This window comes from Homo sapiens, chromosome 7, assembly GCF_000001405.40.
Source record: "Homo sapiens chromosome 7, GRCh38.p14 Primary Assembly".
In the NCBI taxonomy this organism is placed as follows: Eukaryota; Metazoa; Chordata; class Mammalia; order Primates; family Hominidae; genus Homo; species Homo sapiens.
In genome coordinates, this window is record NC_000007.14 from 139,155,798 (window position 1) to 139,176,682 (window position 20,885).

General features: G+C 37.8%; 1 protein-coding gene and 1 pseudogene across 9 annotated transcripts in view, besides 1 other annotated feature; one reads left to right on the plus strand and one right to left on the minus strand.

The window, feature by feature from the left end:
- The window catches only part of IFT56 (intraflagellar transport 56), a 58,209-nt gene that overhangs the window by 22,020 nt on the left and 15,304 nt on the right, over positions 1-20,885 (plus strand). For 6 of the 9 annotated variants that reach the window (NM_001318333.2, NM_024926.4, NM_001144920.3 and 3 more), the window contains 5 exons: positions 5,151-5,225; positions 9,335-9,437; positions 11,043-11,098; positions 12,547-12,600; positions 13,492-13,555. In NM_001318333.2, the coding sequence (NP_001305262.1) occupies positions 5,151-5,225; positions 9,335-9,437; positions 11,043-11,098; positions 12,547-12,600; positions 13,492-13,555 (352 nt within the window). Of the gene's footprint in view, positions 1-5,150; positions 5,549-9,334; positions 9,438-11,042; positions 11,099-12,546; positions 12,601-13,491; positions 13,556-17,119; positions 17,179-20,885 lie in introns of those variants that run through there. The other 3 variants (NM_001321740.2, NM_001287512.2, NM_001321742.2) reach the window with 3 other exon arrangements.
- Positions 16,019-18,649, minus strand: MSL3P2 (MSL3 pseudogene 2; annotated as a pseudogene).
- Positions 18,852-19,688: an enhancer, noted in NCBI's record as "H3K4me1 hESC enhancer chr7:138859395-138860231 (GRCh37/hg19 assembly coordinates)". NCBI's record gives its function as "activates a minimal SCP1, AML or CMV promoter by ChIP-STARR-seq in naive H9 embryonic stem cells {active_cell/tissue: H9 hESC(naive)}" and the evidence as "EXISTENCE:reporter gene assay evidence [ECO:0000049][PMID:30033119]".

The window sequence follows — 20,885 nt, forward strand, 5'->3', positions numbered from 1 at the left end:
GGAAAAGTTCCGTCTTCTGTGTTTTGAAAGAGTTTATGAAGAGCTGGTATTAACTCTTCTTTAAGTGGTATGATTTTAAGCAGTGAAGCCATCTGGGCCTGGGCTTTTTATTTCATTGTAGTTTTTAAATCATTAATCCAATTTATTTAGGGATTGCATTGACTCTAAAGATCAGTTTGGGGGTTAATGCTATCTTAATGACATTAAGTCTTTCAATCTGTGCACATCCATCCATGTTGTATGTCTATTAATAGTATTTCTTCTTGAGTCAGTTCTGATAGTTTATGTCTTTCTAGGAATTTGTCCCTTTCACTTAAATTATCTAATATATTGGCCTATAATTGTTCACAGTATTCCTCTGTAATCCTTTTTATTTCTCTAAGGTCAGTAGTATTGCCTTCTTTCATTTCTGATTCTAGTAAATTGAGTTTGTTGTTTTTTTCTTGGTCAGTCTAGCTATAAGTTTTCTTAATCTTTTCAAGGAACCGGCTTCTGGTTTCATTGATTTTCTCCATTCTCTTGTCTGTTTAATTGATTTCTGCTCTAATCTTTATTTTTCCCTTCCTCTGTTTGCTTTATGTTTAGTTTTCTCTTTTTTTTTTACAGTTAGGTTATTAATTTGTGGTCTTTCTTATTTTCTTTTTTAAATATAGGCATTTACAACTATAAAATTTCCTCTAAGAAATGTTTTAACTGCATCCCGTAAGTTTTGTTATATTGTATCTTTCATTTATCTCAAAGTATTTTCTAATTTTGTTTTTGGTTTCTTTGGCCCATTTGTTATTTAGGGTATGTTGTTTATTTCCTGATTTTCTTTTATATTTAAGTCCATATTCTACATGGAATTGATTTTTGTGTAGACTGAAGCAGAGGTCAAATTTTATTTTTTTTTCCATGAGAATAACTCATTGTTTCAGACCATTTATTGAAAAGATCAGTCTTTTCCTACTATTCCGCCACCTTTGGAAAATAATTCCAGTGTTTAGATATGTCTGCTTCTGAACTCTGTATTCTGTTGATCCATTTGTGTATCCTTGCCCTCAATGCCATACGGCCTTAATTACTACAGATTTGTAATCAAGTTTCACATGTAGTGGGTCTAGCAAGTTTTGCCATCTTGTTAGTGTTCTTCAAGGGTGTCTTGGCTATTCTTGGCTCTTTATCTTTCAGTATGAATTCTAAAACAAGCCTGCCAAATCCAAACACAAAAACAAACCTGTCAGGATTTTAATTGTATTGCTTTGAATCCATGGATGAGTTGGGAGATAATTGATAGTTTTAAATTAAGTCTTTAAAACCATGAATATGGTATCTTTCTCCATTTATTTAGATCTTTAATTTCTTTTTTTTTTTTTTTTTTTTTTTTGAGACGAAGTTTTGCTCTTGTTGCCCAGGCTGGAGTGCAGTGGCGTGATCTTGCCTCACTGCAACCTCCACCTCTTGGGTTCCAGCGATTCTCCTGCCTCAGCCTCCTGAGTAGCTGGGATTACAGACATCCGCCACCACACCCTGCTAATCTTTGGATTTTTAGTAGAGATGGGGTTTTACCATGTTAGCCAGGCTGGTCTTGAACTCCTGACCTCAGGTGATCCACCTGCCTGGGCCTCCCAAAGTGCTGGGATTACAGGTGTGAGCCACCGTGCCCGGCCAGACCTTTAAGTTCTTTTAGTCAGGTTTTGTGCTTTTTTTTGTATTGGATTTTTTTTTTTTTTTTTTTTTTTAGACAAGCTCTGGCTCTTTCACCCAGCCTAGATGGAGTGCAGTGGCTGGATCATGGCTTACTATAACCTCTGCCTTCCATGTTTGAGTGATCTTTGTGCCTCAGCCTCCCAAGTAGCTGGGACTACAGGTGTATGCCACTGTGTCCAACTAATTTTTTAAACTTTTTAAATAGAGACAGGTCTCACTACATTGCTAAGGTTGGTCTTGAACTCCTGGGCTCAAGCGATCCGCCTGCCTTGGCTTCCCAAAACAGTGAGATTACAGGCATAAGCCACCATGCTTTGCCTTTGTATTGGTCTTTTTATGTGTTTTGTTAGATTTGCTTCTAGCTATCTTAATGTATCTCTGTATATTGATGTTTTTCTATATATATAATCAGTGAAGTAAGATATCTAGTCATTCATTTACTCACCAAGTGATTGCAGTGGGGTGACAGGGACAGTGGGGGGTGTGGTGGTGGGTTGCCAAAGCATGAGGAGTATGCAACAGAATCTAAGAAATCATACCTACCCGGCCAGGCACAGTGGCTCATGCCTGTAATCCCAGCACTTTGGGAAGCAGAGGCAGGCAGATCACTTGAGGTCAGGAGTTCCACACCAGCCTGGCCAACATGGTGAAATCCCATCTCTACTAAAAATACAAAAATTAGCCAGGCATGGTGGCATGCACCTGTAATCCCAGCTACTTGGGAGGCTGAGGCAGGAGAATCGCTTGAACCTGGGAGGCAGAGGTTGCAGTGAGCCAAGATTGCGCCACTGCACTCCAGCCTGGGCGACAGAGCTAGACGCCATCTCAAAAAAAAAAAACCAACAAAGTAAAAAAAGAAATATCCTTGTAAGGTTTTTTATCTCAAAGGAAAAGCTTTTGATGATATTTCATCATTAAGAAATGGCATTTCATCATTAAGTATGATGTTTAATGTAGATTTTTAAAGATATCCTTTATCAGATTAAGGAACTTCCCTTGTAGTGTTAGTTTGCTAAGAGGTTTTATAAGGATCAGATGTTGAAGTATAGCATGTTGTATTCTTCATCTATTAAGACGGTCATATCATTTTCCTTTATTCTTGTGGCAAATTATTTGAAGTATTTTCTATTGTTAAATCAACTTTAGGCTGGACATGGTGGCTCACGTCTGTAATCCCAGCACTTTGGGAGGCTGAGATAGGCGGATCATTTGAGGTCAGGAGTTTGAGACCAGCCCGGACAACACAGTGAAATCCCATCTCTACTAAAAATACAAAAATTACCCTGGTGTGGTGGCGTGTAGTTGTGGTCCCAGATACTTGGGAGGCTGAGGTGGGAGGATCACTTGAGCCTGGGGGACAGGGGTTGCAGTGGGCTAAGATGGCGCCACTGCACTCCAGCCTGAGTGGCAGAGTGAGACCCTGTCTCAAAAAACAAAAAATTTTAAAAATCAACGTTATACCAGAATAAACCCAGCTTCATCATGGTTCATTCTTCTCTTTACATATCACATATTAGATAGCTATTATTTAATTTGTTGCATCAATACATAATGGTTTGACTGTTTTATAATTTGCTTTTTTGGTATAGTTCTTGTCAGGATTTGGTGCAAAGGTTATCTTAAAGGAAAATGAATGAATTGAAGCAGGTACCATATGTTTCTATTTTCTGCAAGAGTTTGTATAAGATTGGCTTTTATATTTCTTAAATGTTTGGTAGAACTTATTGACAAAACTATCTAGGTTTGGAAGATTTTAAATTACCTAATTCAGTTCCTTTAGTGGTTATAGGACTATGCATGTTTTCTATTTCTTCTTGTGTTATTTTTGGTAAGTTGTATTTTTCTAAAAATTTGATAATTTCATTTACATTTTCACAGTTTTTTAGTCTTTTCAAAAACCAACTTTTGTTTTTAATCCTATTATATAACTGTTTTTTTATTTTATTAATTTATGTACAAGGGGTCCCCAAAAAGTTCATAGAAAATTCTGTTTTATCCTTCCTTTGCCAGTGTAGCTCTTTAGCAGTTCCTGCTGATTGTGGGAAGGGTCTTTCACTAGACTTCCCACCTTGTGCTGGTATTGGGCTTTCTTTTTTGTCCTTGTCACCTGGCACAATATGGTCTCAAAATAGATCAAATGCAGATACAGATGTGACAATCCATCTATCCTCTGTTAAGCCAGACATTAAAGAGATTTGCAAAAAATGTAAAACAATAACATTGTTCTCACTAAATTTTTGATTTGATAAATACAGTTTTTTAAAGTAAAAAAATATGTATGTCAATGTGTAGTGGGGTTTATTATTGTTATTTTTAAACTTTAAAAAAATTTAATTGTTTTTATTTTCAGTAATGACAAGTTGCTCTGAAATTGAGACCAAATGTTAATTCCAACATATTTTAAGGCATATTATTACTACCATTTTCAATGAATTGAATACTTAAAATTTTCTGTTTTAATTTCTGATACGATAAGTATTGATGGCTATTTCCCGCATAAACAAAAATTATTTGAGATCATTTATAGAGTATAAAAGGGATCTTGAGACCAAAAAGCTTGAAAACTGCTGATGTAACCTAATATTACCCAAAATTTTGGAATTGTACTGTGGACAAGAGAAGAGTGATAAAAAAAAATTGCTGAGCAGACATGCACTCCCAACTATGAGATCAGGCAGAACAAGTTTGTGGTAGTTAGTGAAGAACAATCAAGAATTTAATGATTTTATCCAGAAAAGCTTAGCAACCCACTAATAGAAATAGAAAAGGGAAGAAAGGAGGATTTATTAACATCTCCTTTCAGATTAAAGAATCAACCTTAGTTGTTTAAGGCTTAGTTCGTTAATCACCTTTGACACTGAAAGAAAAAACTAACTCTAGTAGTCTTCAGACTTGAGTATCCCAGTTTTCAAACTTGCTGCTTAGTATAAGTTTCAAGTCACTTAACTTTTTTTTTTTTTTTTTGAGACAGTCTTGCTCTGTCGCCAGGCTGGAATGCAGTGGCGCAATCTTGGCTCACTGCAACCTCTGCCTCCCAGGTTCAAGTGTTTCTCCTGCCTCAGCCTCCTGAGTTGCTGGGACTACAGGCTCGCGCTACCACGCCCAGCTAATTTTTTTGTACTTTTAGTAGAAACAGGGTTTCACCACGTTGACCAGAGGAAACATGGTCTCGATCTGTTGACTTTGTGATCCGCCCGCCTTGGCCTCCAAAAATGCTGGGATTACAGGCATGAGCCACTGCGCCCGGCCCAAGTCACTTAACTTTTATAAGCCTCATTGTTTTCATTTATTATTGCTCTCATTTGAAAATGTGGGTAATAATAATTACATTGACCTAGAGTCATGAGGATCAAATGAAATAGCATGTTAAATTCTTTGTAAATTATAAACCATTGTGTCAATATGTGGTATAAGAACTATACACTTGTCATTTTCATAAGCCTTTCTTCTTTAAATTTCAGGCAGAACTCAAAAGCTTGATGGACAATGCTTCTTCATCCTTTGAATTTGCTAAAGAACTCATCAGGCACAATCTGGTGAATAACGATTTCCCGTCTTGACTGAGTTCAGTCCTACTCTGCTTTGGTACATCACAGCAATTAGAAAGATTAATAAAAGGAGATGCGCCAGCAAGTAATGCTTTACTCCAAGGGAACCCCTCCTCACTGTGGAGGAGATAAGTTTTAAAGTACTAATCTGTTTCCTTAAGGAAATCCTTGTTGGGAGAACAGGAATATATTTAATATTTGGAAAGAAGCACAAGGCAGTGTAGATCCAGGTGTCTGTTTTTTTGAGAAAGACAAAGGAACGTATCCCTCTGTGGTTTAAAATAAATGGGAAATATTTTTGCATCTTTGAAGGATGGCTGAGATTTGGAGTGTTCATTCTAGTCAAGGACATGGAGCTAGAATGAGGCTGACATATGTAAAAGATTGTGAGCAGATTGATCTTACTAGAACAGTAAATTTGTACTGGGGAATAGCAGACACTCAAGTTGGATGGGTGGTTGGGTTTAGGGCTAGATTATGATTCTATTGACCAATATAGTGAGATGCAGAACAGCTGCTCTCAATTCAGATACCTGGGAGCACTGGGCAAATCATCTAATACTACTGAGATTCTTCATCCAGAAGTGGCAATAATAATAACTATGCTTTTTCCTTCTGATTTCTCTATTCCTTTTTGTAGTACCAATTCTTCCAGTAAACCACAGCTGTTTTAGACTCCCCTTCTCTTTATCTCCAATCTCTATTCAGTTACTAAATCCTATTCTCTTCTTGTTGGCAGTATCTTATATTTACTCCATTTCTTATCTAATTCAGGCTTCCATCACAGATACAGTTTTATTTGGATAGTTACTACTATGAGTTTCTGCATCTAATCTTTTAACTTCAAATTTAGTTTCTAAATTGAAACCCGATTAATTTTTCTGGATAATTATGGGTTACATAATAGTCTGGAATTTAAGCTTGGAGAAAGATAAAGACTTGAGAATAGATTTAGGAGTTATTGTAAGAGTCTTGACAGATTAATATGGAAGGTTTTCAATCGCTGAAGTGAAATAAATATTGTAGAATGGATTAAAAATAGAAAAATATGGTTCCAAAACAGCATCTGTATTTATGGGACAGGAAGAAGGAGTATCAACAAATGAAACAAGAAAGGGCAAACAAGAAGAAGCATCTAGATAATGTAATGTCATTTACAACTGCACATTTTAGTCACCTGGGAGGCTTTTGAAATTAATGATGCATGGGCCCCATCCCCAGGGAATCTTATTTAATGGTTGGTCTGGAGCCCAGCTATCAGTATTTTTTTTAAAGCATCCCAGGTGGATACAATATACAGCTAAGGTAAAGAACCACTATATAAATATATGACTGAAAGGAACATATGAAATAGGGATAATTCTTAGAGAGTGGGATTAGAAAGAGAAGTAACAATATGGAAATTTTTCTTTCATAATACTTTATTTTTTTCCAGTGAACACATATTACTTTTATTTTTTTTTTAAACCTGAAAAATATCAGGGCAATATAAGTGGTTGTTAAAAAACATCAACTTTTGAAGTTAGATTTGAGGTCAAAATCAAGTTCTACCATGTACTAGTTTTATAACTTTGGGTAAGTCACTTAACATTGCTGAGTCTGTGTTCTCATATGTAGAATAGGGAAAATGAAAGTACTTATTTTGGCCGGTCGCGGAGGCTCATGCCTGTAATCCCAGCACTTTGGGAGGCCAAGGCGGGTGGATCACAAGGTCAGGAGTTCAAGACCAGCCTGACCAACATGGTGAAACTCCACCTCTACTAAAAATACAAAAATTAGCAGGGTGTGGTGGCATGCACCTGTAATCCCAGCTACTCGGGAGGCCAGGGCAGGAGAATTGCTTGAATCCAGGAGGTGAAGCTTGCAGTGAGCCAAGATTGCACCACTGCACTCCAGCCTGGGCGACAGAGGGAGACTCCATCTCAAAAAAAAAAAAAAGTACTTATCTTGCTTTTTTGGGGGAGGATTAAATGAGGTAATATGTGTAAGGTGCTTTACACAGTATGCATTTAGAAAATGGCATTGATAGGCCGGGTGCGGTGACTCATGCCTGTAATCCCAGCACTTTGGGAGGCCGAGGTGGGCGGATCACGAGGTCAGGAGATCGAGACCATCCTGATTAACACGGTGAAACCCCGTCTCTACCAAAATACAAAAATTAGCCGGGTGTTATGGCGGGTGCCTTTAGTCCCAGCTACTCAGGAGGCTGAGGCAGGAGAATGGTGTGAACCCGGGAGGCGAAGCTTGCAGTGAGCGAAGATCGCGCCACTGCACTCCAGCCTGGGTGACAGAGCGAGACTCCATCTAAAAAAAAAAAAAAAGAAAAAAAAGAAAGTGGCATTGTTGTTATTATTGTCATCTTGTAGGCATCCGTGTCAAAACTGCAGACACATCATGGAGCAAGAGGACAGAAAAGTCCATTGAATTTGGCTAAAGAGATTAATTTGTGACTCCTAAGAGTGAGTTTATTCGTATGCTGAGAGCAGAAGCCAATGTTTTGAGAGGTTAAGGAGTGAGAGGATGAGAAGAAAGTAGAAGCAGTAAGCCACATACTTTTGAAGTGTGGCATTGAAAGAAGAGAAAAATAGGGCACTATCCAGAGGAAACAGTGGGGCCAAGTGGAAGATTTTTCAAGAGAACAAAAACCCCTTGTGTGTGTTTAAAGTGAGAAGTAGGACCAGGGCTTTGGGAAGATTGAAGGTACAATAATTAATGGAGAAAAGAGGTTCAGATGGAGTTAGAAGTCATGGGATCAAGAAGACAGGTGAATGAATTAATCTCGGCAAAAGAAGGGAATATCTGAAAAAGGAACCAAAAAAGCACTAAATAGATATTTCGGGGTCGAGAGAAGAGATTTTGTAGTTCATGCTGGATGACCTTGCTTTCTGTGCATTTATTTGTGAAACAGTTTGCTACATTCCAGACACTATGCTAGGCTCTAGAAATACAACAGTACACAAAATAAATTGTCCTTTCATGGATTTGTTTGTTTGTTTGTTTTGATTTCTAAGCTTTTCTCTGTAACACTTATTATCACCTGATAACATATTTATTTGTTTGCTTTATGGAGGTCTGTCCCCACTTGAATAGTCTGTGGTGACAGGGGAGTGGCCTGTTCCTGCTATAACCCCTGTGCTTGTTACAGTAGTGGGCATATAGTACATGCTAATGAATGTTTACTAAATTAATTCAATGAAACACTGAAATATGTGCCATTTAGCCCACTTTTGCTCATTTAATCCTCATAATAACCTGAAAGGTAGGCATTACTAATGCCATTTAGAGATGAGGAAACAGGCTCAGAAAGGTTATATAAATTCCTTTATGGAGTTTTTGATGCAGAATGTCTGCCTAGAAAAGAGTTTTGTTAATTATTGGGTACTTTAGGAGTTTTCTGCAGTTCTTATGAAGAGGAAAAGAGAAGTACACAATAAGGGTTATGCTTTTATTCTATTTCTCATAGTTATAATTTTATTTTTAACTCTTTTTAATTTAAATGTTTGTGAGTATACAGTAGGTGTATATTGTTATAATTTAGATCACGGCTTTCTTTCAATGAAGTCAAGGTCATATGCATCAATAGAGCTTCAAAAATATATTTGTCCTTTCAAAAAATAACCAAGTGCTGACTATACTAGTCGCAGTTCTCGGGGCTAGGAATACACAGTAAATGCAAAGTTCCTTGCCATATCGAGCTTATATTCTGGTGGATGTAACAGATAAACAGATAAAGAAATATACAATAAAATAAAGATATAAGGGCTATGAATAAAAAAGAAGGGCAAGGGTATAGAGAGAGTGATAATGGAGGTAGGTTTTACATAGGGTTAAAAATAAAATGTTTAATTATGACAAGGCTGTTAAGAAGGATCAAAAGCAGAGAGGAGAGAAAAGAAGAGAGAAGGTAAGAAGCATAGGGATTAGGTAGGCAATAATAAATTCAGCCAATAGTAAAAGTTCTCAATATATCAACTGATTCCCAGAGCTATTTTAGTTGAATATCATGAACCCAGTTATATATGCCAGCTCCTTAAACATTGTCACCAATAAATATATACATCATTGTTGCCATAATAGCATGATTTCTGTATCTCTAGGTTGTTTTCCGAGGAGGTGAAGGGGCTTTGCAGGTTTTACCTCCCCTAGTTGATGTCATTCCTGAAGCTAGGCTAAACTTGGTGATTTACTACCTTCGTCAAGGTAAGAAAAATTTGTCCTGGTCTTACTTACAATGAGATATTTTAGAATAGTTAAATATGTCTGATGGAACTATTTGCTTCACTTTTTAAATCCATACTTCCAAAAATATATTTGCAACAAGTTCATAGAACAAGTTTATTGGTGGTTATTTGTTGTGCCTTTTTTTATCCTCTTTCCTCTTCTGTCGCTTCCTACCTTCTCCCTCATTCTGTTTTTTCTTTTTTCCTTTTATTTTGCTATCCTTTATTCTCTATCCATTCTTTCTTTTTCATTGTTTTTCCTCCCCTTCCCTTACAGTTCTTTTTTCTTTTTCTAGTTTCCCCCACTGCATTATGTACATTCACATTTTCTTGTGTCTTTTGAAAAAAGTATTAACTGTTTCTTATTTGCTTTGATTGTCTGCCTTTCCGTTTCTTTGTACCCCAGGCTGCTTATGAGAAATACTATGATTCAAAGAGGATGTGATATTTATTGCCCCTAAGTAAGATTGAAATTGTCAGACACACGCCTAAAGCAGCCTTTTCTAACAGCTATGAGTACAGGGTAGCAGCCACCATGCATTTGTGGTGGCATTTGGTCATGGGCCCTGGACTAACAATGTGGGCCTTCTTAGGTGCATGGCAGAAACCAACCAGGACAACATATTCCTCATGGAGGAAAATGTATTTATTAAAATAAGAATATGAACTTGCAAACAGTCCTACTTTATTTTATTTGTTTATTTATTATTATTATTCTTTTGAGACGGAGTCTTACTCTGTCGCCCAGGCTGGAGTGCAGTGGCGTGATCTCCGCTCACCGCAACCTCTGCCTCCAAGTTTCAAGCAATTCTCCTGCCTCAGCCTCCCAAGTAGCTGGGATTACAGGCATGCGCCACCATGCCTGGCTAATTTTTGTATTTCTAATAGAGACGGGGTTTCGCCATGTTGGCCAGGCTGGTCTTGAACTCCTGATCTCAGGTGATCCGCCTGCCTCAGCTTCCCAAAGTGCTGAGATTACAGGTGTGAGCCACCGTGCCCGGCCTCTCTTTTATATAAAAGCAAAAAGAAATATGTTTTGGACAAGAATGAAATAAACAGCTTATATATTTTATAAATTATTTTTATTATGGAAAATTTCAAACATAGACAAAAATAAATGGTACAATAAACACCCAAATACTCACCCTGGATTCAGCACTTTTCAAGATATTTCCAGTCTTCTTTTTTCATCACCTCTTTTTTGTTCCTGAAATGTTTTAAAGCAAATCTCAGACTTCATGTCATTTAATTCCTATATACTTAATATATATATATATGTATCTCTTTTTTAAAGAAATCATTGCTTTTCTTATCTAATACAATGCCATTGGCATAGAATGCCTCATCCATGTTCTTAGCTTCAACAATTTTTAAGGTACTTCATGGCTTAATATGAGTTTTCTAAGGATATTTGGTTATTTTTAGCATAACTACTCAACACCGAACATGGAGAGTTAGAAGACAGATAAAACAGATCATATTTCCCATGAATATTTAAGTACTGAAGGATCTTATCTTTTGGGAGGACTGCTTCAGGAGGGTTTTCTGGAATACAGACTAGTATAATTACTTTGTTGTATTTCAGATGATGTACAAGAAGCTTATAACTTAATTAAGGATCTGGAACCTACTACTCCTCAGGTAACTGAGAATGTTTTATATTTTTACTAACCAAGTTCTGCTAAAAGTGGAACTTCAGAAATTTAGTTGGAAGTCATATTAGAGAAGATTAGGCAGACTCCTGCCTGTAGAATCCCAGGAAAAGACCATATGTATTCATTCAGGAATGTTATATGCGACTTGTGATATGAGAATGAATGTTCTAGGCTTTTTGATGTTTTTAAACTCCCTTATATGTAGTCATTTTGTCAAAAAGGGTAAGGAAATTTGGAAAATTCCTTTAGTATTTGGAAATATGAAAATTTAGAATTCTGATGAAAATAACAACTAGATACATGCAATTATCTCATAAATTGTCTGTAACTTGTCTTTCTTCCCCATTGGATCGTTAACTCCTTGTAGTCAGGGACTGTGTCTATATTGTATCTCTAACACTATGTGCATAAAGTATATAGTAAACATTCCATTTATTGAATGAAAGACTGAATGAAAAATATTTCCAGACCCCATGGAGTTTAAACAAGTATATTTCTCAAGTATATTAAAAGATTGAGCTTCTTTCATGCTGTTCTTTGTGAGCTCTCTTAAATGAAAGATTGATAAAGCTGCTAGCTAGGGAGGGTATCTATTAAAGAATTGATCCAAGTCTGAAAAAAGGGATAGAAGTGAGGCCCCAGGACTCCAAAAGAGAGAATACCTTATAAATGGATATCAGAGGACACTTTTTTTTTATTTAGGAAAAGGATTACTAGCAAAGAAAAGTTACTATAACATTGGAAAGGGGCCAGGAGTGGTGGCTCACACCTGTAGTCCCAGCACTTTGGGAGGCCAAGGCAGGTGGATCACCTGAGGTCCAGAGTTCGAGACCAGCCTGGCCAACATGGTGAAACCCCGTCTCTACTACAAATACAAAAAAATTAGCCGGGTGTGGTGGCTGGGGCCTGTAATCCCAGCTACTCGGGAGGCTGAGGTAGGAGAATTGCTAAAACCCTGGGGGTGGAGGTTGCAGTGGGCTGAGATCACGCCACTGTACTCCAGCCTGGGCGACAGAGCAAGACTCGGTCTCAAAAAAAAAAAAAAATTGGAAAAGAAAAATAATATATATGATATGGTCACAGAGAATGGCAGTGGTTGAGAAGGTAATAAAAATTATTATATCAACATTTTACTTTTTTTTCCATAGAATTGAAATAAAATGAAACTTATCTGCTGGAGCTTCCACTAAATTATTTTTGCTTAAGATTGAGAATTTACAAATATGGTAAATTTTGTTATATAGATACTTGGCTGCTGGAAACTAAATGAGTGTCTCCTAATTCTTTTATTCAAGCCAGGGATAGAACAGAGAAAAGTAACTGTGGGTAATCTTTGATACTTTATATAAAGTATTGAGTTAATGCAAGGAGTTAATTTGAAAATGATCTCATAGCTCCACATTCCTCTTAATCAGTGTTATTCCATGTTTCTAGGAGTATATTCTCAAAGGAGTGGTCAATGCAGCCCTTGGCCAGGAAATGGGTTCAGTGAGTATGAAATCACTGATAATCTATAGGTTGCAAAGTTATAAGTGTATGGAAGAGAACAAAATGACTATCAAAGTGCAAGCAGCAATAGGCTCTCCTGTAGCTCCTTTTATTTCTCCATATCCCCCAATCCAGACTCCACTGAGAAAAGAATGTTATGTTATTTAGAGACAAAAAAAAAAAACAAAAAAAAAACTTGTAACCCTAAAGACTCCTGCTTGTTTAAAAGGGTCCAATTTTTAAATAGCAACTTATTTAATAACTAACTTAAAAATCATTGCGCAACTTCATTCTTATTTGCAGCGACTTTTTTTAAACTTACATATATCTAGCTATAATTTTGGCATCTGTAAAGTAGGGAAAATTGTTTCTCTGGAGAAGTTATTTTTATAAACACCAAAACACTGTCTAAAATTAAGCTCTTATCCATCTTAATACAGCGTTCTTTGTTCTTTTTGGAACAAAATGGGATACAAATAAATCTTTTTATCTCAAGTTCATTCTGCAGTGCCTTGTATAGTAGATAGGCAGCAAATATTTATTAAATAAATGAGTTTAATAAATACTCCTTGTTATATCTACAGCTCCTGTTCCAAGGTCTGATATATGGTAAAAGAGCAATAGGTATTTGTAGAATGATTGAGTTCATTTAATGAAGTTTTAGGATAGAATTTAAGGATTTGATTCTTTTTCTTCTCCTCTGCCTGTCCCTGCACAGGTTTTAATTCAGTTTCGGGTCTAGTTGTTATGTTAATGAGAATTAGTATTGTTTGGGGCAAGATTTAAAACAAAGGTATATTTAAATCCTGACAAATATGTTAGAACCATATAGTATAATAAAATAAAATATTTTTACCTTATTCCTCTATATCAGCTCAGTTTGTTTTTCAGAGGGATCATATGAAAATTGCCCAGCAGTTCTTCCAGTTGGTGGGAGGATCAGCTAGTGAATGTGGTATGTCTGAAATCTGTACTTATGATCTGCTTCATAATTGGAGTGGGGCATATATTGACCGTGAAGTTTGATTCTCTGTCTAGGGATGTATCTATTAGGCTTCACATTATAAAGTGGGAGGTCAGAAATAAGAGAGAATATTGGAATTAGTTCTTCTCAACATCTCAGCGAAAGTGGGATAAGAGAATAAATAGAGTAAATTTCCTGTTTTGTTCCTGAGAGTTTTAAAACTTTGAATCAGTTTTAGATATAAAATGTTATTTTTTACTGAGTTTTCAAGAGCTCTTTTGAGCATTAACTTTTGTCACATTCTGGTAGGTCATTTGCCTTTAAACTTTGCCTATGATATTTTTTTCCATATAAAAATATTAAAACCAGCCAGGCATGCTGGCTTAGGCTTGTAATCCCAGTACTTTGGGAGGCTGAGGCAGGCAGATGGCTTGAGCCCAGGAGTTCAGGACCAGCCTGGGCAACATAGGAAGACCCCATCTCTATAAGTAATAATAAAAAAATCAGCCAGGTATGGTGGCACACACCTATGGCCCCAGCTACTTGAGAGGCTGAGGTGTCAGGACTGCCTGAGCCCAGGAAGTTGAGGCTGCAGTGAGCCATGATTACACCACTGCATTCCAGCCTGGGCAACAGAGTGAGACCGTCATCTCAAATATGTATACACCATACAACCAATACTACAGAAATTCAAAGAATCACCACGGGCTACTATGAGCAATGATATGTCAGTAAATTGGAAAACCTAGAAGAAATGGACAAATTCCTAGACACATACAACCAACCAAGATTGAACCATGAAGAAATCCAAAACCTGAGCAAACCAATAACAAGTAATGAGATCAAAGCCATAATAACAAGATTCCCTGTAAAGAAAAGCCCAGGACCCATTGGCTTCACTGTAGAATTCTACCAAACATTTAAAGAAAAACTAATACCAATCCTACTCAAACTATTCCAAAAAAGAAAGGAGGAGGGAATATTTCCTCTCATTCTTCAAAACCAGTATTGCCCTGATAACAAAACCAAAGGCACATCAAAAAAAGAAAACTAAAGTCCAATATCTCAAATGAAGAGGGATGAAAAAATTGTTAACAAAATATTAGCAAACAGAATTCAACAACACATTAAAAAGATCATTCATCATGACCAACTGAGATTTATCCCAGGAATGCAAGAATGGTCCAACATATGCAAATCAATGGGATACATCATATCAGCAGAATGAAGGGCAAAAACCATATGATCATTTCAATTGATGCTGGAAAAGCATTTGATTAAATTCAACATCCCTTTATGATAAAAATCCCCCCAAAAACTGAGTATAAATGGAACATACCTCAAAACAATGAAATCCATATATGACAGGCCCACAGCTAGTATCATATTGAATGGGGAAAGTGGGAAGCCTTTCCTCTAAGATCTGGAACAAGACAAGGATGCCCACTTTCACCACTGTTATTCAACATAGCACTGGAAGTCCTAGCTAGTAATCAGACAAGAGAAAGAAATAAAGGACATCTGAATTGAAAAGGAAGAAGTTAAATTATCCTTGTTTGCAGATGATATGATCTTATATTTGGAAAAACCTAAAAACTCCACCAAAAAACTATTAGAACTCATAAGCAAATGTGGTAAAATTGCAGGATACAAAACCAGCAAACAAAAATCGTTGGCATTTCTATATGCCAACAGCAAACAATCTGAAAATCAAAAAAGTAATCTCATTTATAATAGCTACCAATAAAATTTAAAAATCTTAGGAATTAACCAAAGTAGTGAAATATTTCTACAATAAAAACTATAAAACATTGATGCAAGAAATTGAAGAGGACACACAAAAAAGGAAAGATATTCCATGTTCATAGATTGGGAGAATCAATGTTGTTAAAATGTTCATACTACCCAAAGCAATCTGCAAATTCAATGCAATCCCTATGAAAATACCAATGATATTCTTCATAAAAATAGAAAAAACAATCCTAAAATTTATACAGAACCACAAAAGACCAGAATAGCCAAAGCTGTTCTGAGCAGAAAGGACAAAACTGGAGGAATCACTGTACCTGACTTCTAATTATACCTCAGAGCTATAGTAACCAAAACAGCATGGTACTGGCATAAACACAGACATATAGACCAATGGAGCACATTAAGAGAACCCAGAAATAATCCATATGTCTACAGTGAACTCATTTTTGACAAAGGTGCCAAGAACCTGTAGAGAAAGGACAGTCTCTTCAATAAATTATGCTGGGAAAACTGGATATCCATATGCAGAAGAATGAAACTAGACTCCCATCTCTTACCCTATACAAAAATCAAATCAAAATGGATTAAAGACTGAAATCTAAGACCTTAAATAAGGAAAATTCTACAAGAAAACATTGGGGAAACTCTCCAGGACATTGGTGTGGGCAAAGACTTCTTTTTATGTTGTTGTTCTTGTTTTTGTTTTCTTTCAAACAAGATAGGCTTTATTTAGATCACCAAAACTAACATTTTACAGAAAGGTAGCCATAACATTACACAGCAAAGTATAGCTGTAAAATCTCAAACAAGAAACACAATGCTTTCTTTAGATCACCAAAAATAATGTTTCATAGAGAGGGAACTGTTAGAAGCAAACGTGTAGCTGCAAATTTTCTTTTGCCGTCAATATCGAGTCCCTCTAAAATACTTTGAGACTACTTTGTGGTTTCCAAGTACAAACTAAACCTTGTTGGACAGAGTTGCTCAGCTTCATCAAAAGAATGAAACCAATTTGCAAAAAAAAAAAAAAAATTACTTAATGCTAACAAATAAAAAAACAATGTGGTTCTAGCTAATTAACTGCAATGTCTATTGAAATAGCCTAACCTATGTATGCTTCCACGAACATTTCACTGTGGACCCAGTTGCTTTTTTCCTGCCATCACAGATGGCCTGCACAGTAGCAAGTGTTGTGTCAGAGCACTATAGGCACCCAGGAAACAATTCCTAACAGAATAACTACAGTATGTGGGCAACTCAGGGCCTACCTCTGTCAGAGCCGCCAGGTGGGCATTGTATTTGTGCTCTGGGTAAAGACCCACTACCTTGATAGTTGTTCATCTGGAACCCAGAGCGCTGAGCTAGATAGAGGAGTTGTTCTTACAGAACCATCAACACTGTAATAAATTGCCCGGAGATTCTTGCTGCTGTAATGCACCTCACAGGCAGCGACACAAGCTGACTCTGGGAAAAAGTAATCACGGTATTCTGCTAAAAACCTCAAATAGAGATCAAAGTGCTTCAACAAAGCCTTCAGATTTTTCTCAGAAAAGGACATCTTTCCAAGGATTTCTGGAAGTTTTACAAACAATCGCAGCAAATGTTATACCCCATAAATGTAAGAGGGTGGAAGCGGCTGGTCACCTGGTGGGTAATTGTCAGGCATAAGCTTCAGGACAGGACCTCGTTCATTTCATTAGTTTTTCTCCCTTCAAAGCCAGCGAACACTGTACTTCCTTCCTTGCTAGGAGTCAGAGGAATAGGTGAAGACAATCTGCTATGCACGGGTGTCTTCTTTTCCAGGTGCAGGAACAGCTTGGTTATACTGGCGGATGTGTCCTGCTGCTGGCGCTTGGGCTGAGGTGAGGTGCTGCTGTCAGAAAGTCTGTCACAGTTGGTGGTGTGGCTCAGGGACCACCTCAGAGACTGCAATGCTTCCAACTCAGCTTTGCGCCTTTTGTGGGTGGCTGGTTCACTAATGGTTGGCTGACTCTCTGTGGACTGTGGCATGGATGGATTCAACAAAGGCAGGCTGGGAGAGAGTTCCTCCTGGATCGTATTAGTGTTTATGGCACTTTCCTTAATTGGAAAAAAAACTTGTACAAAGTCACCTTTTTTTTTTTTTTTTTTTGAGATGGAGTCTCGCTCTTGTTGCCCAGACTGGAGTGCAGTGGTGTGATCTCGGCTCACTGCAACCTCTGCCTCCTGGGTTCAAGCGATTTTCTTGCCTCAGCCTCCCGAGTAGCTGGGGATTACAGGCTCCTGCCACCATGCCCGGCTAATTTTTGTATTTTTACTAGAGACGAGGTTTCGCCATGTTGGCCAGGCTGGTCTCCAACTCCTGACCTCAGGTGATCCACTCACCTCGGCCTCCCAAAGTGCTGAGATTACAGGTGTGAGCCACCGCACCCGGCAAAGTCACCTTTTTATACTGAGTTTGTTCATATGGATAGAGTAAAACCAACAGGAGAGTGTAATCAAAGGTTATTCTTAATCCATCCACCATCTCCTTAAAAAGGTCAACATTCTTTTCTTCTGGGATATAATGCACGTTCATATTGGCATGTGGCATAGCATGATGGTGACGAGGCCTCTCATTGGCTGAAAAGGCTGCATTGAGAGCAAAATGCTTCCAAAATCATTATGATGTTGGTCTGGCATGAAAGTTTCACTAACCATTTCCTCCTGTTAATGTAATAACAATCATCCTTCTGCTGCTTCAGAACTTCAGGTATTTCTATAGTTACTGTTGTTTCTTCCATTTCTCTTTTTGTTTGAAGCTCTGGTTCTTCTTTCACTTCAGTCTTTTCTTCAATATCACTTTCTTCACTTATTCTTCATCCTTTGCTGCTGCCAGAGGAACTGCTTAATGAATTTTCATCATTTTCATCTTTTTCATCAATGAGGAGGCCTTTTAAGACAGAGTCAATCAACACCAGGCAACCTGCAGCACTTCTTTCTTCCTGTGCTGCTCAGGCGAGCTACAGCTTTTCTTGCCAATTGATGCTGTAATCTACGATTTTCATCAGTATCATGAAGCACATGATCTTCAGTTGCCCACTTATCCCAGCTTCTGTTCCAGCCATTAAAATGGATCAGATATTCTGGGATCTTTCTGCCTTTTTTGTCTTTCCCAACAATAACATTAACAATCTGGGTCTGACGGCAGGGCGTCCCACGGGAGCCCACCTGGTGCTGGGCCACACTGGAGGAGAGATTTAACATGAAGACAGAAAGTGTAGTCCAGAGGCCTCCTCCACTGGCGGCCCGCGTTGGCATCAGGGGGTGCAAACAGTAACAACAAAGCACGCGTGAGGTTCCCGACCGTGTGTGAGCAGCCTGGCCCAAAGATTTCTTGAGTAATACCGCACAAACACAGGCAACCAAAGCAAAAATGGACAGATGGGGTCACATCAAGTGAAAAAAGCTTCTGCACAGCAAAGGAAACAATCAACAAAGTGAAATGAGAACCCACAGAATGGAGAAAATGTTTGCCATCTGACAAGGGATTAATAATCAAAATATAGAAGGAGCCCAGACAACTCAATAGGAAAAAAATCTAACAATCCAATTTAAAAATGAGCAAAAGCTCTGAACAGACATTTCTTAAAAGGAGACATACAAGGCCCGGGTGCCGTGGCTCACACCTGTAATCCCAGCACTTTGGGAGGCTGAGGCGGGTGGATCACCTGACGTCAGGAATTCAAGAGTAGCCTGGCCAACATGGTGAAACTCCATCTCTACTAAAAATGCAAAAAATTAGCTGGGCATGGTGGTGGCACCCGTAATCCCAGCTACTCAGGAGACTGAGGCAGGAGAATCGCTTGAATCCAGGAGGCAGAGGTTGCAGTGAGCCGAGGTCACACCATCACACTACAGTCTGGACAACAAGATTGGAACCCCGTCTCAAAAAAGAAAGAAAGAAAGAAAAAAAAAGACATACAAATGACAAATGGGTATATGAAAAGGTGTTTGACATCACTGATCATCAGAGAAATGCAAATCAAAACTACAGTGAGATACCATCTCACTCCAGTTAAAATGGCTTTTATGCAAAAGACAGGCAACAGTGAATGCTGGAGAGGATGTAGAGAAAAGGGACCTTCGTACACTGTAAATTAGCACACCTACTATGTATGTGTGCTAATTTATGTACGTACAAATGTAAATTAGCACACCTACTATGGATAACAGTTTGGAAGTTCCTCAAAACACTAAAAATAGGATGACCATATGATACAGAAATCTCACTGCTAGGTATATACCCAAAAGAAAGGAAATCAGCATATCAAAGAGATATTTGCAAACCAATGTTTATTGCAGCACAGTTCAAAATAGCGAAGAATTGGAAGCACTCTCAGCATCCATCAACGGGTGAAGGAATAAAGAAAGTGTGGTACATATGCACAATGGAATACTTACTGTTCAGCCATAAAAAGGATGAGATGAGATGAATGAGATGAGATCCTGTCATTTCCAATAACATGTATGGAATTGGAGGACATTATGTTAAGTGAAATAAGCCAGGCACAGAAAGACACACTTTTCACTTATTTGTGGGAGCTAAAAAATATTAAAACACTTGAACTCATGGAGATAGGGAGTAGAATGATGGTTAGCAGAGCCTGGGAAGGGTAGTGGAGTGGGAGGGCAGTGAGGATGGCTCCAAAAAAAAAAATTAGAATTAATAAGATCTAGTATTTGGTTTTTGTTTGTTTGTTTGTTTTGTTTTTTGAGATGGAGTCTTGCTCTGTTGCCCAGGCTGGAATGCGGTGGCATGATTTCGGCTCACTGCAACCTCCGCCTCCCGGGTTCAAGCAATTCTCCTGCCTCGGCCTCCCGAGTAGCTGGGACTACAGGCGCCCGCACCACGCCCGGTATTTTTAGTAGAGACAGGGTTTCACCATGTTGGCCAGGCTGGTCTTGAACTCCTGACCTCAAATGATCCACCCACCTCAGCCTCCCAAAGTGCTGGGATTACAGGCATGAGCCACCGCACCCGGCTTAAGATCTAGTATTTGACAGCACAACAGAGTGACTACAGTTAAGAATATAATTTATTATATATTTCAAAATAACTAGAAGAGTATAATTGGATTGTTTGTAACACAAAGAAAGGATAAATGCTTGATGTGATGCATACCCCATTTACCCTGATGTGATTGTTATGCATTGTATGCCTGTATCAAAATATACTGGATATCCATATGCAGTATGGATATATGGACTACATACCCACAAAAATTAAAAAAAATAAAGTAGATTAATAAAAAATATTAAAACCATATTTAATTAAGTTTTTCTTTCCTATAATGATTTCTTGCATGGATATTAAGCTTAGAAAATGCTTTCTTTCTGCCACAGTTATATAATGTTCACCTATATTGCCCACTAGTAGTCTTGAAACTTCATTTTTATGATTAAAGTATTTCATCAGCCAAGATTCAGTGAAAGATTTGAGAAAGGGGTATAAAAAGAGATGCTAGTTAGCCAGCATGAACCAATATGGTGCTGCCTGTACTGGTTGTCTATGCCTGGCATCTATTCTGAGTAACAGTGTTCATGCTGA